Source organism: Homo sapiens, chromosome 19 (assembly GCF_000001405.40).
Source record: "Homo sapiens chromosome 19, GRCh38.p14 Primary Assembly".
Taxonomy (NCBI): Eukaryota; Metazoa; Chordata; class Mammalia; order Primates; family Hominidae; genus Homo; species Homo sapiens.
In genome coordinates this window covers 529,463-551,540 of record NC_000019.10, presented here as the reverse complement: position 1 = coordinate 551,540, position 22,078 = coordinate 529,463, and the positions used below count along the sequence as shown (strand labels likewise).

General features: G+C 63.0%; 2 protein-coding genes across 5 annotated transcripts, besides 13 other annotated features; both read right to left on the bottom strand.

The window, feature by feature from the left end:
• Positions 1 to 1,618: 1,618 nt before the first annotated feature.
• On the bottom strand, positions 1,619 to 7,488 carry GZMM (granzyme M). Of its 2 annotated transcripts, none has more exons than NM_005317.4 (5): positions 7,415 to 7,488; positions 4,105 to 4,261; positions 2,864 to 2,999; positions 2,356 to 2,619; positions 1,619 to 1,911 (listed from the first exon to the last, which is right to left on the bottom strand). In NM_005317.4, the coding sequence occupies exons 1-5, from the start codon at positions 7,467 to 7,469 to the stop codon at positions 1,750 to 1,752; spliced, it is 774 nt and encodes a 257-aa protein (NP_005308.2). In that variant the 5' UTR covers positions 7,470 to 7,488; the 3' UTR covers positions 1,619 to 1,749. The 2 variants fall into 2 exon arrangements, with proteins under 2 accessions (NP_005308.2, NP_001245280.2); NM_001258351.2 differs by having other exon boundaries at positions 4,105 to 4,257.
• Positions 7,475 to 8,120: an enhancer, noted in NCBI's record as "H3K27ac-H3K4me1 hESC enhancer chr19:543421-544066 (GRCh37/hg19 assembly coordinates)". NCBI's record gives its function as "activates a minimal SCP1, AML or CMV promoter by ChIP-STARR-seq in naive H9 embryonic stem cells {active_cell/tissue: H9 hESC(naive)}" and the evidence as "EXISTENCE:reporter gene assay evidence [ECO:0000049][PMID:30033119]".
• CDC34 (cell division cycle 34, ubiquitin conjugating enzyme) lies at positions 9,454 to 19,781 on the bottom strand. 3 transcript variants are annotated; one of them, NM_004359.2, is made up of 5 exons: positions 19,433 to 19,781; positions 15,618 to 15,704; positions 15,201 to 15,298; positions 14,394 to 14,528; positions 9,454 to 10,202 (listed from the first exon to the last, which is right to left on the bottom strand). In NM_004359.2, exons 1-5 carry the CDS (start codon positions 19,607 to 19,609, stop codon positions 9,989 to 9,991), a joined length of 711 nt encoding a protein of 236 aa, NP_004350.1. In that variant the 5' UTR covers positions 19,610 to 19,781; the 3' UTR covers positions 9,454 to 9,988. The 3 variants fall into 3 exon arrangements, with proteins under 3 accessions (NP_004350.1, XP_006723015.1, XP_005259747.1); XM_006722952.3 differs by having other exon boundaries at positions 9,454 to 10,198; XM_005259690.4 differs by lacking the exon at positions 9,454 to 10,202 and adding an exon at positions 12,505 to 12,863.
• Positions 15,661 to 15,822: a silencer, noted in NCBI's record as "fragment chr19:535719-535880 (GRCh37/hg19 assembly coordinates)". NCBI's record gives its function as "represses an EF-1alpha promoter that drives an FKBP-Casp9 reporter gene in an ReSE screen in HepG2 liver carcinoma cells {active_cell/tissue: HepG2}" and the evidence as "EXISTENCE:reporter gene assay evidence [ECO:0000049][PMID:32094911]".
• Positions 15,883 to 16,002: an enhancer, noted in NCBI's record as "active region_13563". NCBI's record gives its function as "activates an Ori minimal core promoter by ATAC-STARR-seq in GM12878 lymphoblastoid cells {active_cell/tissue: GM12878}" and the evidence as "EXISTENCE:reporter gene assay evidence [ECO:0000049][PMID:35858748]".
• Positions 16,043 to 16,092: an enhancer, noted in NCBI's record as "active region_13562". NCBI's record gives its function as "activates an Ori minimal core promoter by ATAC-STARR-seq in GM12878 lymphoblastoid cells {active_cell/tissue: GM12878}" and the evidence as "EXISTENCE:reporter gene assay evidence [ECO:0000049][PMID:35858748]".
• Positions 16,272 to 16,847: an enhancer, noted in NCBI's record as "H3K27ac-H3K4me1 hESC enhancer chr19:534694-535269 (GRCh37/hg19 assembly coordinates)". NCBI's record gives its function as "activates a minimal SCP1, AML or CMV promoter by ChIP-STARR-seq in naive H9 embryonic stem cells {active_cell/tissue: H9 hESC(naive)}" and the evidence as "EXISTENCE:reporter gene assay evidence [ECO:0000049][PMID:30033119]".
• Positions 16,303 to 16,362: an enhancer, noted in NCBI's record as "active region_13561". NCBI's record gives its function as "activates an Ori minimal core promoter by ATAC-STARR-seq in GM12878 lymphoblastoid cells {active_cell/tissue: GM12878}" and the evidence as "EXISTENCE:reporter gene assay evidence [ECO:0000049][PMID:35858748]".
• Positions 16,848 to 17,424: an enhancer, noted in NCBI's record as "H3K27ac-H3K4me1 hESC enhancer chr19:534117-534693 (GRCh37/hg19 assembly coordinates)". NCBI's record gives its function as "activates a minimal SCP1, AML or CMV promoter by ChIP-STARR-seq in naive H9 embryonic stem cells {active_cell/tissue: H9 hESC(naive)}" and the evidence as "EXISTENCE:reporter gene assay evidence [ECO:0000049][PMID:30033119]".
• Positions 18,407 to 18,566: an enhancer, noted in NCBI's record as "active region_13560". NCBI's record gives its function as "activates an Ori minimal core promoter by ATAC-STARR-seq in GM12878 lymphoblastoid cells {active_cell/tissue: GM12878}" and the evidence as "EXISTENCE:reporter gene assay evidence [ECO:0000049][PMID:35858748]".
• Positions 18,637 to 18,686: an enhancer, noted in NCBI's record as "active region_13559". NCBI's record gives its function as "activates an Ori minimal core promoter by ATAC-STARR-seq in GM12878 lymphoblastoid cells {active_cell/tissue: GM12878}" and the evidence as "EXISTENCE:reporter gene assay evidence [ECO:0000049][PMID:35858748]".
• Positions 18,947 to 19,116: a silencer, noted in NCBI's record as "silent region_9605". NCBI's record gives its function as "represses an Ori minimal core promoter by ATAC-STARR-seq in GM12878 lymphoblastoid cells {active_cell/tissue: GM12878}" and the evidence as "EXISTENCE:reporter gene assay evidence [ECO:0000049][PMID:35858748]".
• Positions 19,084 to 19,740: an enhancer, noted in NCBI's record as "H3K27ac hESC enhancer chr19:531801-532457 (GRCh37/hg19 assembly coordinates)". NCBI's record gives its function as "activates a minimal SCP1, AML or CMV promoter by ChIP-STARR-seq in naive H9 embryonic stem cells {active_cell/tissue: H9 hESC(naive)}" and the evidence as "EXISTENCE:reporter gene assay evidence [ECO:0000049][PMID:30033119]".
• Positions 19,084 to 20,276: a biological region, named in NCBI's record as "H3K27ac hESC enhancer GRCh37_chr19:531801-532457".
• Positions 19,537 to 20,276: a silencer, noted in NCBI's record as "silent region_9604". NCBI's record gives its function as "represses an Ori minimal core promoter by ATAC-STARR-seq in GM12878 lymphoblastoid cells {active_cell/tissue: GM12878}" and the evidence as "EXISTENCE:reporter gene assay evidence [ECO:0000049][PMID:35858748]".

Sequence of the window (22,078 nt, the reverse complement as noted above, 5' to 3'; positions counted from 1 at the left end):
CGGCGCTGAAACAGAGTCACTGAACAGCCCGAGATGCCACTCCCACGGGTCTAATCTGGAGGGAGGAAGGAGCAGGTAGGTCCACACGAAAACGCACACAGGCGGCTCCCAGCAAAGCTTCAGACGGACGGACGCAGACGAAGCCGCCCAGATGTGCACCCAGGGACGCACCCACAAACGCAGCGAGGCCCCCCTCGAGCTGGAGCTCGACCCCCCGGAGCAGGAGCACGGCTCGGACCCAGCCAGCGCGCGGGTGCAGCTTGAGGACGTCACGCTCAGCGGGAGACGCCAGACACAGAAGGCCACGCAGCGTGATCCCCTGTCCATGAAATGTCAGCACAGGCCCATCCAGAGACAGGGAGGGGATGTGAGGGCACCGGGGCTGGGGTGGGGACGGGGAGTGACGGCCGATGGGGACGAGCCTCCTTTTGGGGTGCTGGGGTGACAGTGGGGACAGAGTCTATTTTCGGGGTGCTGGAATGACAATGGGGGTGGGGCTTCCTTTTGGGGTGCTGGGGTGATAGAGATGGGGCCTGTTTTCGGGCTGCTGGGGTGACAGTGGGGACAGGCCTGTTTTCGGGCTGCTGGGATGACAGTGGGGACGGGCCTGTTTTCGGGGTGCTGGGGTGACAGTGGGGACAGGGCTGTTTTCGGGGTGCTGGGGTGACAGTGGGGACAGGCCTGTTTTCGGGGTGCTGGGGTGACAGGGGGACAGGCCTGTTTTCGGGGTGCTGGGGTGACAGGCCTGTTTTCGGGGTGCTGGGGTGACAGTGGGGACGGGCCTGTTTTCGGGGTGCTGGGGTGACAGTGGGGACAGGCCTGTTTTCGGGGTGCTGGGGTGACAGTGGGGACAGGGCTGTTTTCGGGGTGCTGGGGTGACAGGACTGTTTTCAGGGTGCTGGGGTGACAGGGGACAGGCCTGTTTTCGGGGTGCTGGGGTGACTGGGGACGGGCCTGTTTTCGGGGTGCTGGGGTGACTGGGGACGGGCCTGTTTTCGGGGTGCTGGGGTGACTGGGGACGGGCCTGTTTTCGGGGTGCTGGGGTGACTGGGGACGGGCCTGTTTTCGGGGTGCTGGGGTGACATGTCACGGTGGTGGTTGCCCAGCTCTGTGCAGGTACCAAAGGCCCCTGAATCGCAGTTTACAGGGAGACTCATCTGCTATGTGAGTTGTAACTTGATAAAAGCTGTTACTAAAAAAGAAGATCCTGGGATGCTGTTCAAGGCCCAGCCCCAGGAGCCACGCGGGGAGGACGGCCGCCCACCCCTGCCAGCCTGCAGACCCGGCCACCGCTCCAGTCCTGGCCAACGCCGCCCCCTCCTGGGAGAAGCCTTGGGATCCACAACCTCCCTTTTTAAAACAGGGAAGGGCCGGGCGCGGTGGCTCACGCCTGTAATCCCAGCACTTTGGGAGGCCGAGGTGGGCAGATCACAAGGTCAAGAGTTGGAGACCAGCCTGACAAACATGGAGAAACCCCTTCTCTACTAAAAATACCAAAAGTTAGCCTGGCGTGGTGGCGGGCGCCTGTAGACCCAGTTACTCGGGAGGCTGAGGGAAACAGGTTTGTCGGAAGCCCCACAGCCAGCATGGACAGAGGTGGGCTGGGACTCAGGCGGGCTCTGAGCGTTTCTTCATTATGATTTATTGGTCCCTCCCTGTCCCTCCCACCCGTCCTCACCCACCCCACTGCACCCCTGGAGGGGAAGGGTCCTGTGGAGACAGCGAGGGGGTCCCCATCACCCCAGGGCATCAGGCCGATCGGCCGGTGACCTTCCTGATCCAGGACACGTAAGGCGCCACAGCGGTGGCCACGGGAGGCTTGAAGATGTCAGTGCAGACCCTGGAGCTGAAGGACAGGACTCTGGCCAACACCCGGCCTTTGCCACACACCAGGGGCCCGCCCGAGTCACCCTGCAGGGACGACACACCGCAGCTCAGCCTCTGCACCTGCTGAGGGGACGAGGGGAGCAGGGCCCGCCGAGGGGAGCAGGGCCAGGCCTGTTATCCCCAGGCTCAAGGAGACACAGGGGCTGCTCCCGGCCCACGCGTGTCCCCTCCCCATCTCCCGCTGGCCCTGTGAACCCTGCTCCTTCTTCCCCCGCCGGACCGTCTTGGCTGGAGCAGAAGTCACAGCTCTGCCGCTTCCCGGCTGTGTGGTCTTGCGCAGGTTGCTAAACCTGTCTGAGCCTCAGTTTCTGCACCTGAGAAACGGGACCCCTGCCAGTGCTTCCCCGCCCCCCAGCCCCTGACAGGACTCCCCAGAGAACGGGAGAGCCAGGAACCTGCCCGGCGGCTGCCCTGGCCCCGGCCCTCCCGCCAGCCTCATTCCCCCAGCCCCACCCGGGCGCCCCTCACCTTGCAGGGAGCCTGGTCCTTGGAGTCGGCCGCCAGGCAGACCATGCTGGGGGAGAGGCTGCCGTTCCAGAAGCGGCTGTTGTTACACATGCGGGTGTCCAGCACTTGGAGGTCCAGCTCCCGCAGCACCCGGGACAGGCGCCCGCCCTGGTGGGTCAGCCCCCAGCCGGCCATGCTGCACCGAGTCCCTGCTGCCACCACCTGGCGCTTACTGGGCAGGGCCAACGGCCGGATGGTCCGGCTGGGCTTCACTTTCCCGTCCAGCTACGAGTGACAGGAAGGGGCAGGTGAGCAGGGGGAGGGGGTGAGAGTGCGGGGGCGGGGGGCGGCAGCGGGGGGAGGGGTGGCAGTGGGGGGAGGGTGGGCAATGGGGGAGGGGGCAGTAGTGCGGGGGGAGGGGCAGCAGTGCGGGGGGAGGGTCGGCAGCGGGGGGAGGGCGCAGTGGGGGTGAGGGGCACCCGTGGGGGACAGGAGGGTGCCCAGTTCTCCCTGTCCCGTCCCTGCACACCTGAAGCAGCGCGAGGTCGTTCTCCAGGGCAGGGACGGGCTTGTAGCGAGGGTGCTGGATGGCTGCCTTGATGTGGAAGGTGAGACCGGGGCTGTCCAGGGTGTGGAGCCCCAGCACCAGCCTCAGCTGGGCCATCCTGGGGACAGAGGGAATCAGGGTGCTGCGGCCTGGCCCGGCGTGGACGACCCGCCACATGCAGTCCCGGCCCCCACTGTGCCCGTTGTCCATGGCCATCACTCACAGCCGCTGCCCCTCACAGGCCTTGGCTTGGCCAGTCCTTCCCTGTGTCTTTGCAACCCACCTCCTCCAGGAAGCCCTCCCTGCTCTCACCCCTGCCCCAGACTTCTGCCCGGCCCTGGCCCCAGGCAAGGGCTGTGTGTCCAAAAATCCAACCCCAAGCCTACAGCTTCACGAAAACCAGCCCTGGGAATTCCCTTCACTTGGGGCCCCAGGCTCAACCACAGTGATTTGTACAGGGGTTGACACATGCCAATCCTCCTAAGTGTGCCCCAACTTTAGAGAGCCAAGCCCTCTTTCCATGGGACTGAGGAGGGTCAATCTTTCCACCTTGTGAGACAGGCTTCCTGGTAGTGCAGCAGAGCTGGGAGACAGATGGGCTCCACAGCGCCTCCTGTGAGCACCTGGATCAAGCCGCACCTGAAGCCAGGCCTCCTCCTAGACTTTGCAGTTACACAAGCCGGCAGATCCCTTTTTGTTACTTTGACCATCTTGATCTGGGCTCTGTATGACGGACCAGTCCTGAGGTAGGGCAACTCCATGATGGGTCATTTAGCGGCTTCCTGATCCCCGGGAACCAGGTCGATTCCCGAGCCACTCTCGAAGGCCGGCTTCGACCTCCTGGCCACAGGTGGCAAACACCCCCACCTGACCCTCCTTCCTTATAGCAGAAGCCCCCGCCTAAGTTGGGTCCATCAGCAGGTGAATGGACAGACACAATGCACTCTGTCCACACCAGGACTGTGGCTCAGCCGTGAAAGGAGCCAGGCTCTGACCCAGGCTGCGGTGTGGAAGGAGCTGGCCCTGCCAGTGCCTCTTGCAAGGAGTAAACCTTCTCCAGGAGTCCCACAGCCGCAGGTCACTTAAACCTGCCTAAGTCGTCACCGGGAGGGGACGGGGGTCCCACAATGGGCCTAAATCTCCCAGAGCCCACCCCCTGCAGAGAATGGGCGCCGTCGGATGGATTCCCCGGACCCCTGGGGTGGGCAGGGCAGGGTACTCACCGCTGGGCCAGGCAGTGGGCAGCCGTCAGCACCCACTTTGGGTGCACCAGGACACCCCCGCACAGGTGGGAGCCATTTCTCTGCAGTGAGGCCATGTACGGGCGCGAGTGGGGGATCACCTCCCGGCCCCCGATGATCTGGGTCCCAAAGGAGCTGCCTGCCAGGATGGGGGACAAAGAGCCAGGTTGGGGCTACATGCCCCTGCTGCCTGCTGCGACTGTCCTTGCCCAGCTCAGAGGCCCAGGACCCCAAGCAGATGTGCCATCCTAATGAAGTCCCCAGTGTTCCCCGAAACTTTTAGGCTGATACGTGTGGGCTGCCCTTCATCCCTCCCATCCCCCTCTCATCACCCCCATCATGTTCCCCCCAGGCCACCTCCCAATCCCCTCTCCAGGACCTCCCCAGGCCCCACTGGGCCCCACAGCCACAGGAGTCCTTCAAAACGCACATCAGGCCGGATGTGGGTGGCTCACCCCTGTGATCCCAGCACTTCGGGAGGCTGAGGAGGGAGGATCACTTGAGGCCAGGAGTTCGAGACCAGCCTGGGCGACACAGCAAGACCCAGTCTCTTAAAAAAAACTTTTTTTTTCTTTTTTTTTGAGACAGAGTCTCGCTCTGTCACCCAGGCTGGAGTGCAATGGCACGATCTCGGCTCACTGCAAGCTCCGCCTCCTGGGTTCATGCCATTCTCCTGACTCAGTCTCCCGAGTAGCTGGGACTACAGGCACCTGCCACCACGCCTGGATAATTTTTGTATTTTTAGTACAGATGGGGTTTCACCATGTTAGCCAGGCTGGTCTCGAACTCCTGACCTTGTGATCCACCCATCTCAGCCTCCCAAAGTGCTGGGATTACAGGTATGAGCCACTGCACCTGGCCATTTTTTTTTTTTTTTTGAGATGGAGTCTCACTCTGTTACCCAGCCTGGAATGCAGTGCCGTGATCTCAGCTCACTGCAACCTCTGCCTCCTGGGTTCAAGCGATTCTCCTGCCTCAGCCTCCCGAGTAGCTGGGATTACAGAAGCGCATCACCACGTCCGGCTAATTTTTTTGTATTTTTAGTAGCGACAGGGTTTCGCCGTGTTGGCCAGGCTGGCCTCAAACACCTAACCTCAGGTGATCCACCCTCCTTGGCCTCCCAAAGTGCTGGGATGACAGGCGTGAGCCACTGTGCCCAGCAAGAAATGTAGTCTTTAAATAAGTAAATTGTATAGTGCATAATTTCCTAATAAAGCTGTACAAAAATTATTTTAAATCAATCATAAATATAAAAGGATTGATTTCATAATGTAACGTAAATCAGCTCAAAATCTTCTCTGAATCCCCATCATGCTTTGAAAATCAAGTCCCCGCTTGCGGGCCGGTGCAGTGGCTCACGCCTATAATCCCAGCACTTTGGGAGGTCAAGGTGGGCAGACAGCCTGAGGTCAGGAGTTGGAGATCAGCCTGGCCAATGTGGTAAAACCCCGTCTGTACTAAAAATACAGAAATTAAGGCCGGGTGCGGTGGCTCACGCCTGTAATCCCAGCACTTTGGGAGGCCGAGGCAGGTGGATCACGAGGTCAGGAGATCGAGACCATCCTGGCTAACACGGTGAAACCCCGTCTCTACTAAAAATACAAAAAATTAGCCGGGCGAGGTGGCGGGCATCTGTAATCTCAGCTACTTGGGAGGCTGAGACAGGAGAATCGCTTGAACCCGGGAGGCAGAGGTTGTGGTGAGCCGAGATCGTGCCATTGCACTCCAGCCTGGGCAAGAATAGCAGAACTCCATCTTAAAAAAAAAAAATAGGCCGGGCGCGGTGGCTCACGCCTGTAATCCCAGCGCTTTGGGAGGCCGAGGCAGGCGGATCACCTGAGGTTGGGAGTTTGAGACCAGCCTGACCAACACGGGGAAACCCTGTCTCTACTAAAAATACAAAATTAGCCCGGCATGGTGGCAGGCGCCTGTAATCCCAGCTACTCGGGAGGCTGAGGCAGGAGAATCGCTTGAAACCAGGAGGCGGAGGCTGCAGTGAGCCGAGATGGCACCATCGCACTCCAGCCTGGGTGACAAGAGTGCAAGTCTAGCTGTGCCTGCAAGCTGCCTGCACCCTGGGCCTTTGTCTGTCTCACTTAGCTGCCTGCGTACCTTTCCCCCACCGGCTTCCTCCCTTGGTTTATGCTCGTCTCCTGCAACGGCCCCCCACCCGCCCTCTTGCCCTCCGTGTTTCCTCCGCTCTGCACAGTCTCATGCCTGGCCTGTCTCTTCCAGTCAGACAGGAGGGCAGGCCTAGAACAGCACGAGCCCTGCAAATACGGATGGATACACAGAAGCACGGGAGAAAGGAAGGAGGGATGGAAGGAGGAATGGATGATGGATGGATGGGAGGGAGGAGGGAAGGAGGGGGGAAAGGAAGAGAGAGGCATGATGGATGGATGGGTGGATACATGGAAGGAGGGAGGGAAGGATGACGGGTGGAGGGAAGGAGGGAGGTTGAAAGGAGGGATGGATGATGGATGGACGGGTGGGTGGAAGAATGGGAGGAAGGAGGAATGATGGGTGGATGGACTGGCGGAGGGAAGGAAGGGGGAACGAAAGGAGGGAGGGAGGGATGGATGATGGACCCATGGGTAGAGGGATGGATGATGGATGGGTGGGTGGAAGAATGGAAGGAGGAATGATGGGTGGACGGACGGGTAGAGGGAAGGAAGGGGAGATGAGGGAGGGAGGGAGGGAGGGAGGGAGGGATGATGGACCCATGGGTGGAAGGAAATAAAAATGGGAGGAAGGATGATGATGACTGACGGCTGGATTCCTACCTCTGTCCATCTTCTTGGGTCCCCAACTCATCAAGAGCCCCTGTCACTCAGTCCAGCTGGAATGCAGGGGAGCCGCCACCCACCTCCCTTCTCCCTCACTGCTGGGCACCTAGTCCCAGCCAAGCCCTTGGTGGTGGCAGGCAGCCAGCGGGGATCGAGTCCCAGCTCTGCCCTCCCAGCTGGGCAGTCCTAGGTCAGCATCTCCTTCGCCAAGTCTCAGTCTCCTACTCTGCACCTCGGGTGTGAGCGTGACCCCTGCCTTCTGGCTGCTGCCGGGAGGATGGGCGAGGTGAGCCGGTGGACACCACACTCTCCCACGGTCCCGGGATGTCCACTCGGGGTGAAGCGTGAGGAGCTCGGGATGCCCCAGGCCTCAGTCCCCCTCCAAACAAGGATGAATCTCCGCTCTTACACCCAGGATGTCGGCGCCCGCGCCCACCCCTCCCATCCAGGGACCCACCGAGAGCGCTGGGCCTCAGTGTCCCCCCTGCATCCCGGCTCCCACTCACCTACTGACAGGGCCCCCAGGGCCAGCACCAGCAGTGAAGACACGCAGGCCTCCATGCCGCTGTGGAGACCCAGTGTGGGTGCTGGCCCCGGCCCCGAGCCTCCCCACACGCGCTTCCTGTGGGGGAGGTGAGGTGACGGTCACAGCCCCGCCCACCGCTGCACACCCTCCACCCTCCATCCTTGAGCATTTTAGAAAGTGTTTCTCAAAGAGGACTCGAGATGAAGCCACACTACCATCATCACACCTGACAAAGTAACACTTTTTTTTTTTTTTTTTTTTCAGAGATGGAGTCTCGCTCTGTCGCCCAGGCTGGAGTGCGGTGGTGCGATCTCGGCTCACTGCAAGCTCCGCCTCCCGGGTTCACGCCATACTCCGGCCTCAGCCTCCCGAGTAGTGGGACTACAGGTGCCCACCACCACGCCCGGCTAATTTTCGTATTCTTAGTAGAGACGAGGTTTCACCATGTTGACCAGGCTGGTCTCAAACTCCCGACCTCAGGTGATCCACCCACCTCGGCCTCCCAGTGCTGGGATTACAGGCATGAGCCACCGCGCCCGGCCACTACTTCCTGCCTCTGAATTGGTCTCTAGGGACCTCCCAGGAGTGGAATCACACAGGACCTGTTGCGTTGGCGTCTCTCCCAGCATGACGTCCTCAAGGTGCATCCAGGCTGTGGCCTGTGTCAGAGCCTCGCTCCTTTTTGTGGCTGTGTCACATCCCATTGTGTGGCTGGACCACGCTGTGTTTATGCATTCACCAGCGGACGGATATTTGCGCTGTTCTAGTTTTTGGTCTTCATGAATAAAGACACTGGCCGAAGGCGGTGGCTCACACCTGTAATCCCAGCACTTTGAGAGACTGGGGCAGGAGGATCGCTTGAGCCCAGGTTGGGGCTGCAGTGAGCCGTAATTGCACCACTGCTCTTCAGCCTGGGTGACAGAGCAAGACCCTGTCTCAAAAATAAATAAATTTAGGCCGGGCGCGGCGGCTCACGCCTGTAATCCCAGCACTTTGGGAGGCCGAGGCGGGCGATCACCTGAGGTTGGGAGTTCGAGACCATCCTGGCCAACATGGTGAAACCCCATCTCTACTAAAAATACAAAAATCAGCTGGGCATGGTGGTGGGAGCCTGTAGTCCCAGCTACTCAGGAGGCTGAGGCAGGAGAATCACTTGAACCCAGGAGGCGAGATCGCACCACTGCACTCCAGCCTGGGCAACACAAGACTGTGTCTCAAAAACAAAACCAAACCAAACCAAGCAGCTATGGATGATCCTGAGACCTGGGTGTGGCTGTGCCAGTAACACTTCACTCACAATAGGGGCGGACGCCAGGTTTGGTCCCGAGGGCCATGGTTTGCTGAGACCCCAGGGCCCCATTTTCTGTCCCAACTTGGTGGGAAACCTCATCCTCACAGCTCCTCGACCCTGAATCAGCCACTGAGCGACTTTCCGGGTGCCCAGAAGCGGAACGCAGGCAGGTTCCTGGAAGGCGGTGCCCCGGGAGGGCATGGGAGCTCCGAGCTTTCCTCCATGACATGTAATAAAACGATGCTGGGGACTTCCTGACACCAGGACGTGAGGTGCCTGCCCTGTGTGCCCAGGGCCACGGCTCCCCACCCCGAGGGTGTGCCTGGACGGAGCTGGAGCCGCCGGAGTGCTGATCGGGGGCATCTGTGGTCCTGGGAGCCCTGAGACGCTGAGATCAACGCCCAGGCGGCTGTGGACCCGCGACGAAGCTTTGCTGGATGCCTGCAGAGGCAGCTCCCGTCCCACTAGATGCACCTGGTCACAGGGAGGAGGAACTCTGGGGGCTTTCTGGCCGCCCCTGTCCCGCAGGCTGGGGGATGCTGCCCAGGCCTGTCTGACCCAAGTCATGGGAACGTACAGGCCGCGGGACCCGGCTGCTCCCCGTGCCTCCCAGGACAGGCCTCCCAGATCCACACCTGGCGTAGCCAGGGTCCCAGTGGGACTGGCCGTGTGCAGTCACTCATGGACGTGGAGGCTGCCTCTCCCTCCCAAGCACAGCTTCTCTGGCCTCTCATAAAGTAGTTTTATTTAGATTTCAAACAAACCAAAGCAGGGAAAAGAGTCGGCCACGGTGAATCCGTCCACTCTGTGCTGGACGTGGCTCCAGGACCTGGAGCTGACAGGCAGGACCGGGCCCCTCGGACCGCTACACCTGGGCCTCCCAGGCTGGTAGTGTCAGGAAACGGCCCCCCGCCCACGTTCCCAGCAGCGCCCCCGTGGCTCCTCCGGGGTGCGGCCAGTCCGGAAGCTGGGGGACCCCGGTAGAAGTCGGGCTCAGCTCCCCTCCCGAGGGGACAGGTGGGCCGGCCGCTCCCACCCTGGGCCCGTCCACCGAGCCCCGAGTGACGTGAGTGGCGGTGGGGCAGCCCCTCTTCTCTGAAGCACGTGAAAACCCAGAACAGACATGGGGAGGGAGAAAAAGCCAAAACGAAACAACCAGAGGAGACGGGGACCAGCACAAAACCTCCGTGAGGTAGTCTGTCGTCTAAGGAGCCACGGGTCCGGCCCTAGTGAGGTAAACTCGGCAAGTTTATTCTGGTGGTGTCAGGACTCCTCCGTGCCAGAGTCATCCTCATCGTCCCCGAAGCAGCTGTCGGCCTCCTCCTCCACCTCGCCGTCCTCGTAGTAGTCGTCGTAGAAGAGGTCTGAGCCCTCGTCGGGCGCCGGCGCCTTGGTCTTCACGCAGTACTCGGCCAGCGTGGTGGGCACCTTCACGCCGTCACGCTCCGCGTCCACCTTGGTCCCCAGGACCTGCTTCCTGGGGGGACAGGGTGGGTGAGGGCGCCACCCACGTGCCTGGACTCGGCCCCTGCCCGGCCCCCCTCCCCCAGGTCCGACGCTCACCCCAACGCTCAGGTTTCTCTTAAAACGGCGTGTGGCGACCACTTAGGACAAAGCCCTGTGCGTGAGGAACTCCAGGGGGAGAAATGACAGAGGAGGGGGCTCGGGAAGGGCAGGAGGTGCGGGTGGGAGGCTGGACGGGCGCAGTGCAGTCACACCCGCCTGCCCCGCCCCGAAGCACAACCCAAGGGACCCATCAGGAGCTGGGAGAAAATAACGATGCCGGCAACAGGGAGGGCCCATGCTGCCCCACTGGGGGGCAAAAGCCTTCCTCAGCGCAGGAGCAAAGGAAGCAGCTGGGAGGGCCCAAGGACAGGAGGCAGGACCATCCCTGGAGACGGGAACCAGCACAGGTGAGATGGGAAACGCAAAAACGGCCTGAGCCTCTCCGTGGCCTCAGCAGGATTCTAAACCCGGGGGCCTGGCCACCCCGGCCTCCGGATTCTAAACCGGGGGGCCTGGCCATCCCAGCCTCTGGATTCTAAACCCGGGGGCCTGGCCATCCCAGCCTCCGGATTCTAAACCCGGGGGCCTGGCCACCCCGGCCTCCGGATTCTAAACGTGGGGGGCCTGGCCACCCCGGCCTCCGGATTCTAAACCCGGGGGGCCTGGCCACCCCGGCCTCCGGATTCTAAACCCGGGGGGCCTGGCCACCCCGGCCTCCGGATTCTAAACCCGGGGGGCCTGGCCACCCCGGCCTCCGGATTCTAAACCCGGGGGGCCTGGCCACCCCGGCCTCCGGATTCTAAACCCGGGGGGCCTGGCCACCCCGGCCTCCGGATTCTAAACCCGGGGGGCCTGGCCACCCCGGCCTCCGGATTCTAAACCCGGGGGGCCTGGCCACCCCGGCCTCCGGATTCTAAACCCGGGGGGCCTGGCCACCCCGGCCTCCGGATTCTAAACCCGGGGGGCCTGGCCACCCCGGCCTCCGGATTCTAAACCCGGGGGGCCTGGCCACCCCGGCCTCCGGATTCTAAACCGGGGGGCCTGGCCACCCCGGCCTCCGGATTCTAAACCCGGGGGGCCTGGCCACCCCGGCCTCCGGATTCTAAACCCGGGGGGCCTGGCCACCCCGGCCTCCGGATTCTAAACCCGGGGGGCCTGGCCACCCCGGCCTCCGGATTCTAAACGTGGGGGGCCTGGCCACCCCGGCCTCCGGATTCTAAACCTGGGGGGCCTGGCCACCCCGGCCTCCGGATTCTAAACGTGGGGGGCCTGGCCACCCCGGCCTCCGGATTCTAAACCTGGGGGCCTGGCCACCCCGGCCTCCGGATTCTAAACCTGGGGGGCCTGGCCATCCCAGCCTCTGGCAGGAAGGGAGGACAAGTTAGCTCAAACTTCCTGGAGGGCACCGTGTACACCCGGCCCTATGAGGGGCTGCACCGCGCACACCAGGACCTACGAGGAACCTGCCCCCGGCTCCACCTCCAGGACACGCGTCAAGAATGTCCCCCCAGGACTGGAAGCAAAGGGGCTTCCGGGGGTGGCACAGCAGGGCCAGGCGGCACGCTGACCCCATTTGACAGAAAACAGGAACGAGGCTGCAGCCGCAGGCAATGGGCTCGAGCCCCTATCACCGACCAGGCACGGCTCTGGGCTCTGGGGCTGGCTGCTACCAGGGTGTGCGGGTCCCACAGTGCCCGCATGGGAGGGCACCAGGGAGCAGACAGACAGCCCCAAGCCCAGCCCACAAGCCCAGTGCTTTTTATGGGGATGCATGACGCGTGGAGGGCAGGCGTCTGGCCTCAGGGACGTCCCTGGGTGGCGGGACCCAGCGGACGCCAAGCTTTGCTTTCCAAGCTCTCCGATGGGCTGGGGGGGTGACTGACAGTGCCCCGGGGACGGCACTGCACGGGTGGCAGCAGTGGGGAGACGCAGGGGAGGGCCAGGGTGGACGGGCTGGGGGGGTGACGGTGCCCCGGGGACGGCACCGCAGAGGTGGCGGCTGTGGGGAGACGCAGGGGAGGGCCAGGGTGGGAACTGACCTGCACCGTGGAGGTGCCGCCGGCACACCGCCAGCATGAGCTGGAGGACGGTCTGGAGGTCCTGTTCAGCAAGACCAACATCCCTGACCAAGCCGGGCTCCACGGCAGCCTGCCCGACACAGCTCAGCGGGACTTGGGCTGCCACGAGGCCAACACGCACACAGATGAAAAAACAGGCAGAAACGGCGACCACAGCAGAGTCCACATGGCACATGTGTGTTGGCCCACAGGGAGTTTTGAGGGATAAAAATAGTGTGGCTTTTATTTCTGTGCTGGGATCTCAAGGAGGTGGTGCCTCAGGGAGGTGGCCGGGAAGAACCGGGCCAAGGAGCCAGCCACCTGGGCCAGGTGACACGACCGGACCGGGGCCACCGAGGACATCTGCACCAGAGGGACGGCCAGGGCAGCTACCCTGTGACCTCCAGAGGCCAGCAGGTGCTTGCAGGCCACTTCCCAGGAGGCCGCACGGGGCCCGCCCACCATGGCTGCTCAGAGCCGAGACCGCCCAGCACCAGGATGCTGCCCCGAGATGACCCCACGACACCAGGTACCAGCGAGTGCAGGATGGAAGGTGCCCTGGATGCTCCTGGGTCCTGGGGCGAGGAAGACACATGCATTATGTGTGCAATATTTTAAAAGTTGTTTTTAAGATTCTGTTTATACAAAATACCAACAAAAATAGGTGAGGCCTCTGTGAGGAAATCTATGCAATATCACTCTGAGAAAAAAAAAAAATGGATAGGAAGGGCCTCTATGTAACAGGAAGAGCAGGAACCATTAAGGCCGTCAACCCGTAAAGAAAGCCTTGTCTTTGTACACAGACACGCACGTGTTTACACATTCATGTGAACACAGGCACCCAAGAGAAGGGGCTGTGGGGCTCAGCTCTGGGGCATGAGGGCGATGGGAGGAGAGGGAGAGCCGTGGGTCACCACACACAGCCACGCAAGCTAAGTGGACTGCAGGTACAGAAGGCGCCGGTAGGCGACTGCACAGCTGTACCCAGAGCTCACCAGGCCAAGAGCCTGCAGGGACGCACTCCAGACATGAGTAAGGCCAACACCCCTGACTAACAGTCAGTCACTGGGCACACACAGCACGACCCCATTTTTTCATTAAAGCACAGACACATGTTCCCTAACAGTCAGTCACTGGGCACACACAGCACGACCCCATTTCTTCATTAAGGCACAGACACATGTTCCCTAACAGTCAGTCACTGGGCACACACAGCACGACCCCATTTCTTCATTAAAGCACAGACATGCGTTAAACTGAAAAGCCTGGAAGAATCTATGAAAACACTAACCACCAGGCCAGGTGCAGTGGCTCACGCCTGTCATCCCAGCACTTTGGGAGGCCGAGGCGGGTGGATCACCTGAGGTCAGGAGTTTGAGACCAGCCTGGCTAAGATGGTGAAATCCCACCTCTACTAAAAATTACAAAAATTAGCTCGGCGTGGTAGTGGGCACCTGTAATCCCAGCTGCTTGGCAGGATGAAGGGGGAGAACTGCTCCAACCCGAGTAGTGGAGGCTGCAGTGAGCCGAGATCGCACCACTGCACTGCAGCCTAGGCAAGAGAGTATAACTCTGTCTCCAAAAAAAAAAAAAAAAAAAAAGGCCGGCCGCGGTGGCTCACGCCTGTAATCCCTGCACTTTGGGAGGCCGAGGCAGATGGATCACGAGGTCAGGAGATCGAGACCATCCTGGCTAACACGCTGAAACCCCGTCTCTACTAAAAATACAAAAAATTAGCCGGGCGTGGTGACGGGCGCCTGTAGTCCCAGCTACTTGGGAGGCTGAGGCAGGAGAATGGCGTGAACCCGGGAGGCGGAGCTTGCAGTGAGCCGAGATCGCGCCACTGCACTCCAGCCTGGGTGACAGAGAGAGACTCTGTCTCAAACAAAAAAAAAGAGGAAAAGGGGCAAGAAGCTGGGCTTGAACCTGGCTGGACCCTCCGCCACTCGGCCCGGCCTCCATCTGTGACTGGCACCCTGTAAATGGGCACCAGGAAGCTCCGCCACCCTCACCAGGAAGGTGGGGCTGGGCGGCCGTGGGACCAGGGGCCGGGGTGCAGGCCGGATCTGAGTCTCTCCTCCCGTGACGCCCCCGCCCGCCCTCACCGGATGATGTCTGTGTACTCCCGATCCTTCCCCTTGCTCTCTTTCCACTTCCTGTACATCACGGAGGCGTCCACGTTTGCGGGCGAGAAGGTGTTGGGCTCGTTCAGGAGGGAGATCACACTCAGGAGAATGGTCCTGTGGGGAGAGTGGGTCGGAGTGGGGCGGCCCGGGGCACCCCAGCCTTCCGGCTCTTCTCTGGCCCTGAGGGTCACGGGGACGCCTGGACCCACCCAGCAGGTGACCTTCACCTGGCCTCATGGCCTCTGCTTCTGTCTCAGGCCCCCAGAACAGCAGGGGCTGGACCTGCATCAGTCTCCTCCCTCCCACGCCAAGACCAGGGAGGGCAGCAAGGTGCAGACCCCTCCGTCAGACCCGGGGCTGCCCTCACACCCGCACGTCCTGCCTAGACTACACTCCAGGACACACGGGCAACACGGCCCAGTGCTTGTACCTGGGGACGAGGCCCAGGCGGCACACGTGGCACGAGGTGACCAACCCAGAGACGGCTGGGTAAGGAGAAGGCCCCAGGACTGAGGATGGCGGGACACCTCTAGGTGGTTCCAGACGGTGGGGCCGGCCTGGGGTCCTGGTGGGAGTCTGCACCGACACACGGTGCCGCAGGCCCCGTGAAAGCACCTACCGTGCAGGTACAGCGAGGCCCAGGACCGCCAGCTGGCAGGTCCCGAATCAGGCCTTGGCGCCACAGCCTGTGGGGGAGCCCGGCCTACCTGATGGTCTGGGTGGATACGGGACGGAGCCCGGCCTACCTGATGTTCTGGGTGGACACAGGGGGTTGGGCCGGCTTACCTGACGTTCTGCGTGGGGTTCCACCTCTCTGAGGGCAGCTCCCCGCTCTGGGGGTCGTCCACCGGCGGGTGGAGGATGGAGATACACACGTCCCCCGTCTGCACAAGAAGAAGACAGGTCAGAACAGGTCAGAGGTCAGCACGGGCTCCCAGTGCCCCAGGTCCCGGAGGATGAGGACGTGGAGGACGAGGACGTGAGGCTCCCAGCGCCCCGGGTCCCGGAAGGACGAGGACATGAGGCTCCCAGCGCCTCGGGTCCCGGAAGGACGAGGACGTGAGGCTCCCAGCGCCCCGGGTCCCGGAGGACGAGGACGTGAGGCTCCCAGCGCCCCGGGTCCCGGAAGGATGAGGACGTGAGGCTCCCAGCACCCTGGGTCCCGGAGGATGAGGACTTGAGGCCCGTGGGGGCCGCGCTCACCTCGTAGATGTTAGGGTGCCACATCTTGGTCAGGAACCGAAAGGCTGGTGGAGAGTATGGGTAGTCGATGGGGAACTTGAGGCGCGCCTGCAGGGGCAGAAGGCAGGTGGCTCAGTCCAGCCCAGCCCCAAGACCTGCCCCAGCTCACAAGGTGCCCAAGGCCATCCCACTCCCAGTGCTGGTGCCTGAGGGTGTGTGTGAGGGACACCGTATCCTGCCCAAGGCAGGGACTCTCACAGGCCTGGGGTCAAGTCCCCAGAAGGCTGCCTGAAGCCTTTTCTGAGTCACCCGAGCTGATCCCAGCTCCTACACAGTCCAGGTGGCCGGGACCCGGCCCAGCACAACTGCTGGGGAACGTGGGCACTGGCTGCCCGCGTGGCTCCAGGCCCGTGGCAGCCCAGGTCAGGCATATGGGACCCAGGCCAGGGGCACCCACCAGCAGACAGAATGGACTGGCAGGGGCTCCAGGCTCCCCTTGGATGGAGCTGAAGCCCAGGACCAGGGCTGCACCTCCAGGGCCTTGGCAGCCAGGGTGTGGGGAGGGTTAGCACAGATGATTGCTCAGTTAGCAAACACTTGTGACACCTGCCCTGGCCCAGGCCGTGGGAGGGGATGAGTCAGTATGGCCGTCTGCCCTCAGGTGTCCGGTCTTGGGGGGTCAGGCAGGCAGACCCATAGGTCACAGAAACCTGGCAGGACTCCTTCCCTGTCAGCATCGCCCCCTGTGGTCACCCAGGCCCTGGAGGTCCAGATCTGCTGGCAAGGACGGCCACAGAGGGAGGCCTGAAGCCACGTGCCAGGTGACAGAGCTGTCTGGCCTGCAGCCTGGGGCGTGATGCCACCCACGGCCCTCCTGGGCCACAGCAGGTAAACAAGGAAGCCTCACTGTTTTCCTGCTGGGCCCCAGTGCCAGACACAGAGGTTGTCTGGGTCAGGGGTCCTGGTGGCACTCAGCACTCCAAGGCACGAGAGCAGCACCCCCAGAGCGATCGTGGTGGAAGCCTGGACAGGGAGGGCACTCAGGGGGTCTTGGATCGTGGGCGAGGTCTGGACAGGGAGGGCACTCAGGGGGTCTTGGATCGTGGGCGAGGTCTGGACAGGGAGGGCACTCGGGGGTCTTGGATCATGGGCGAGGTCTGGACAGGGAGGGCACTCGGGGGTCTTGGATCGTGGGCGAGGTCTGGACAGGGAGGGCACTCGGGGGTCTTGGATCGTGGGCGAGGTCTGGACAGGGAGGGCACTCGGGGGTCTTGGATCGTGGGCGAGGTCTGGACAGGGAGGGCACTCGGGGGTCTTGGATCGTGGGCGAGGTCTGGACAGGGCGGGCACTCGGGGGTCTTGGATCGTGGGCGAGGCCTTGACAGGGAGGGTACTCGGGGGTCTTGGATTGTGGGCGAGGTCTGGACAGGGAGGGCACTCAGGGGGTCTTGGATCGTGGGTGAGGTCTGGACAGGGAGGGCACTCAGGGGGTCTTGGATCGTGGGCGAGGTCTGGACAGGGAGGGTACTCGGGGGTCTTGGATTGTGGGCGAGGCCCCTCCCGGACAGGCAGGGCACTTTGGGGGTCTTGGATCGTGGACGGGCCCCTCCTGGACAGGGAGGGCACGCGGGGTGTCTTGGGGGGTGTCCTCTGTTTGACAGGGAACTCACTGGTGCCCCGTAAGGCAAGTGACTTGGCCGCGGCCACAGAGCAAGGCTGGAACTTCAGTCTCAGAACTGTCCTGCGGTTCCCCAAGACTTCAGGCCCCCCAAGCCTGGTGCTGGGTTTCAGGCGGCAATCCTTGACAACAGCCAAGGCCTCATCTGTACCAAACCCCACCAAGTCCCAATGAGCCTCTTATTTTGGGCACCTCTAAGAATGTCTTTTCCCCGGAGCAAACCCAGGCTCAGAAAAGGAAAGCGCCCTGCCAAGGGCAGACAGCAAGTCGGCTGTGGAGGGCTCTCTCTGGCGGCCCCTGCCCCAGGGCTCACTTTGGCTCCTGAAGGAACAGCAGCTGCAGGCAGTGGCTGGGCAGCAGCGGCCCTGGGCACTCAGCAGGTTCTGTATTTCCACGCTCCCCCAACTCCCTCCCAGGCACAGCGGGAAGGGAGAGTCCTCGTGGGTGGCAGCACCCCCGTCTCAACACTGGCTTCTGAGGACTGACCCTGTGGCAGATGTCTAGAGGCCCCCTCCCTGGGAAATCCGGAAAACCGGATTATCCCCTAATGCTGGCCCAGGAAGCTCTGCCCACAATCCCTGGCAACCGGTCTGGTGGGCACAGCAGCCAGAAACCCCCATCCCCTCCTTCCAGAACAGCAGCCGCCTCACAGGCCTGGCTTCGAGGTGGGGCTGCGGCTCCTCAGCCAGCTGCTCCCCCAAGCAGACAGAAGGGGCTGGCGGAGGAGCTGCTAAAACCATTTGGCAACCTCGAGACCCAAACTCTGTTCCCTGTGTGGGGACGCAGGATTCCAGATGCAGAACCCACGGGCGTCCCACTCTCTGCTCAGGAATCGCCCCCAGCAGACCAGGCTGCTGCCCTCACAGCCGCTGAGCGGGTGCGGTTCAGACACTAATTAGCTCGGAGAGCAGACACATATCGTGCGGGAGGCATCGGTCCCTCGGCCCCACGCCCGCAGCTGGCCGGGGCAGAGCGGGCCGGGCCCTGCAGTGTCGTGTCGTGTCCAGGCTCTTGGCAGGAAGTGACGGTGGGAGGGGGAGATTCCTGGACAGGGTGCTCGTTCCCCACCGCTCACACAGGGCCCCTCGCTTTGTCCCTCTGGCCCCAAGAACGAGGTCCCTGAACGCTAAAAGAAGTCAAAGGTCACGTCTGGATCGTGAGATCAAGAAAACTGCCCTGGTTTTGGCCTGAGTCCTTTTCACATGAGACAGAAACAGCCTCCCCGCTCCCAACAACAACAAAAACATCCAGAAACTGCTTGGAATTAAACCGCCAGAGGGCAGAAGAAACGGCCCAGAACTCGGGGTTTGGGTCCCAAGAAGCCACCTGTTCAGTGGACTCTGAGAAAGGCCAAGACCAGCTGGGATGAGCGAGCCCGGAGCTTCTGAGGTCGGGGTCCGGGACGCGGGCCCGAGCCGGGAGGCCTGGAGAGAGCTGCAGGGAGCAGGTGGGAGGCACGCCCCTACTTCGGCCTTCCCGAGGGCGCAGGTTACATAAAGCAGGGGATGGAGCCCAGGGCGCCTGGCCGGCTGCTACTGGCAAGGGTGGCCGCTTTCCAGGCGGGTCCTGGCTGCCAAGGCTCATCCGGGCCTTTGTTGGAGACTGAGCGAGTGGCCGCGCCAGCCACCCCCAGGCTGGCCTCGCTCCCCCGCTCACGGGCCCAGCTCCCCAACAATAGCAGCTACGGGGTCTGGGGGGGCCTCTTTGTCTCCTCCGGGGAGGGCGGGGAGGGCAGCTGAAAGGCCGGCGCGGCCTGGGCTCCGCTCCCTCTTTCTCGCAGGGGCGGAGGGGGAGGCAGCCGGGGTCCAGCCCCCGCCAAGGAGGAGGTGGGCAAGAGCCCCACGCCCAGATGCTACAGGGAGGGCCCCCGGCCACCCCTCCGGGGGCCAAGAGCCTAACAGGGGACCGGACGATGCCTTGAAGGGAACTGGGGATTTTCGAGGACTGCAGCAGAGGCTGAAGGTCCCCGAGACGGTCCGAGGAGGGGGCCGGGCAGAGCTGGGTGGGGGAACGTGGCCATAGAAGGGAAACGAGCCCAAGCCAGGAGGCTTCGGGGCCCGCCCAGCAACAGCGCTAGGACCGCGGGGCAGGGAGCTGGTTCCCGGCGCCCGAGGTCGCTCGTGGGCTCCGGGACCCGGGCGGGGGTCGCCGCGCTCACCTTGAAGTAGCCGCCCTCGTAGTAGGTGTTGGGGGGCCCGAAGATGGCCACCTCCCAGTTGTATAGATCGCCCTCGTCCACCAGTGTCACGCGGAATCCCTCGACCGGCTCTTCCTGCAGCCCCTTGAGCTCCAGCAGCAGCGCCTTCTGCGAGCTGGGCACTAGCGGCCGAGCCATGGCGGCGGCGGAGGGGCCCGGGGTCGGAGCAGCGCGGGGCCGCGCGACCACCGCGAGTTCGCGAGACGGGCCGGGCCGCGCACCGTCCGGGGGGGAGCCACCGGGGCCGCCGCCTGCCTCCTCCTCTGCGCCGCCGCCGCCGCCCGGGGACCCCGAGCGCTCCAGCAGCTCTGGCGCCGCCGCCCCACCGGCGCTTGCCTTGGCCGGGCCCGCGCGCCCCGCCCCCCGCTGCGCCTGCGCGCACCGCCTGGCCCCGACTGCGCCTGCGCTCCGCGGCCAGGTCCGACTTGCGCCTGCGCGCCCGGCCGCAGGGGACGCCGGGAGGTGGAGTCCCGGCCCCGGTCCCGCCTACGGCGCCGAGCGCCTCCGCCGGGAGGGAGGGTTCGAGCGCGCAGCCCCGGGCTCTTCCGATCCCCGAGGCCGCCGCCGTCGCCCCCTGCTCGACCAGCACCGCGGACGCTGTGCGCAAGGAGGCGGGCAGGGCTGCTCTGCGCCGTCACCGGCCCGGTCCCCCGGCTTTGGGGTTGTTTTGTGACGTGCCGGCGCGGGGCGGGGCCGCGGGCGGTGAACGGGGCGCGGCGCGGGGTCCTGACCGGGACCGGAGGGGCAGGGCCGGTCCATCCGGCGCGACCCCGCGTCCCCGTCTCCGTTTCCCCGTCTGTGCAGGGGACGGGCGCGAAGTCTGTCCTAGGGTCGCGCTGGCCACGCGGAAGGGAGGAAGGGGCGGGAGCGAGGCGGGATCCGCAGACCTGGCTTCCAGGCGCGGCGCTGCCTCGGTTCCCCCGACAGCGGGAGCTCTGAGAAGTGGGCGAGGTCGGGGAGGGCTCTGAGGGGTGGGAGGGGCGAGGGCTTCCCTGGTCCCCGTTGAAGTCACCATGTGGTGTGAGGCGAGTGCAGGCGCTGGAGCCATCAGAGGTTGGCAAGGTGCTCCTGCCCCCCAGAGAAACTGGGAAAGAGGCCTACGCCGGCCAGCATCGGCTCAGCACCTGACCCGGGAGAGGCGCCAGCCCCACGGAGCCCCCACCCCAAGCTGAGCCCGAGCCTGGCTGTGCCCTCCTCCCAGCCTGACCTTTGTCCTACCCGAGTCTTTTTTTTTTTTTTTTTTTTAAATGAGACAGAGTCTCGTTCTGTGGCCCAGGCTGGAGTGCAGTGGCACAATCTCACTGCAACCTCCGCCTCCCGGGTTCAAGCTAGTGTCCGCCTCAGCCTCCCGAGTAGCTGAGATTACAGGTGCCCGCCACCACGTCCGGCTAATTTTGTATTTTAAGTAGAGATGGGGTTTCACCATGTTGGCCAGGCTGGTCTCGAACCCCTGACCTCAAGTGTGTTGTTAGGTTTTGAAAGGAAGGGGAGGATGCAGTTTGGACTAATAAAGGGATCCGTCTGCGTCGGCCTCCCAAATGCTGGGATTATAGGCATGAGCCACCGCGCCCAGCCCACCTGAGTCTTGACCCCAGCTGATTCCGGGCATCACTGTGACCCCACCTGACTTCTGACCTGGCTCAGTGGCTGCCCAGACACCCACATGCTCCTTGCTGTGAAGCTTGGTCGGGAGAACTGGCCGTGGTGAGGACGGGGCAGCCCAGCCTCCCCTGAGTCGTGCCCGTGACGGGTGGCCCTGCCCTCGGACTGTGCCAGTGGCATTGTTGCTATGCCCTGGGTACACACAGCTGCATCAACATACAGGCCGGGCACGGTGGCTCACGCCTGTGATCCCAACACTTTGGGGGGCCGAGGCGGGCGGATCACAATGTCAGGAGATCGAGACCATTGTGGCTAATATGGTGAAACCCCGTCTCTACTAAAAATACAAAAAATTATCTGGGCGTGGTGGCGGGCGCCCGTAGTCCCAGCTACTCGGGAGGCTGAGGCAGGAGAATGGCGTGAGCCCGGGAGGCGGAGCTTGCAGTGAGTCTAGATAGCGCCACTGCGCTCCAGCCTGGGCGACAGAGACTCCGTCTCAAAAAAAAAAAAAACCAAAAACAAAAACCAGTCTGGGACCAGGGCCACTCTGTCCCGCAGGTGCCCCAACACCTGGCCCCGGCTTCATGAGTCTGGTCCCCGGAAGAGGACCAGCAGGCAAACCTGTCTGGGGAAAGGAAAACAGCATCAGGAGTGGAGAGGGAGGGAGGGATCCAAGAAAGAGCTCTGGGCCGAGCGGTCACTTCCAGAGCTGTCCAGGGCCGAGGCCGAGGCGTCCTCACCCGTAAGGGCCTCTGGGCCTCCTCCCTCAGGCCCCTCTGCCCGGCACCCTGGGGGCCTGGAGTAAAAGGAGGGTCTCGGGACTAGTGGGGCCTTCTGGCTGTGGCCCCTTCACCAAGGTTCCCAGGGTTTTGTGAGCCTCAGTCTCTTCCGTGCCACAGGTCGTGGATATATTGCCAGCATCATGGAGCCGGCAGGCAGCAGCTCATGGGTAAATTAATGCTAATTAGAATTAACCACGATTCCTTCTCTAAGGGCTCCCAAGAT

Coding starts and splice junctions, on each gene's coding strand:
- GZMM (NM_005317.4), bottom strand. CDS start 7,469: ATGGAGGCCTGCGTGTCTTCACTGCTGGTGCTGGCCCTGGGGGCCCTG. Junction 4,262..7,414: donor CCTGGGGGCCCTGTCAGTAG/GTGAGTGGGAGC, acceptor CCATCCTGGCAG/GCAGCTCCTTTGGGACCCAG. Junction 2,620..2,863: donor ACGACCTCGCGCTGCTTCAG/GTGTGCAGGGAC, acceptor TGTCACTCGTAG/CTGGACGGGAAAGTGAAGCC.
- CDC34 (XM_005259690.4), bottom strand. CDS start 19,609: ATGGCTCGGCCGCTAGTGCCCAGCTCGCAGAAGGCGCTGCTGCTGGAG. Junction 15,299..15,617: donor GGCACCCTAACATCTACGAG/GTGAGCGCGGCC, acceptor CTTCTTGTGCAG/ACGGGGGACGTGTGTATCTC. Junction 12,864..14,393: donor GAGTACACAGACATCATCCG/GTGAGGGCGGGC, acceptor TCCTCGCCCCAG/GACCCAGGAGCATCCAGGGC.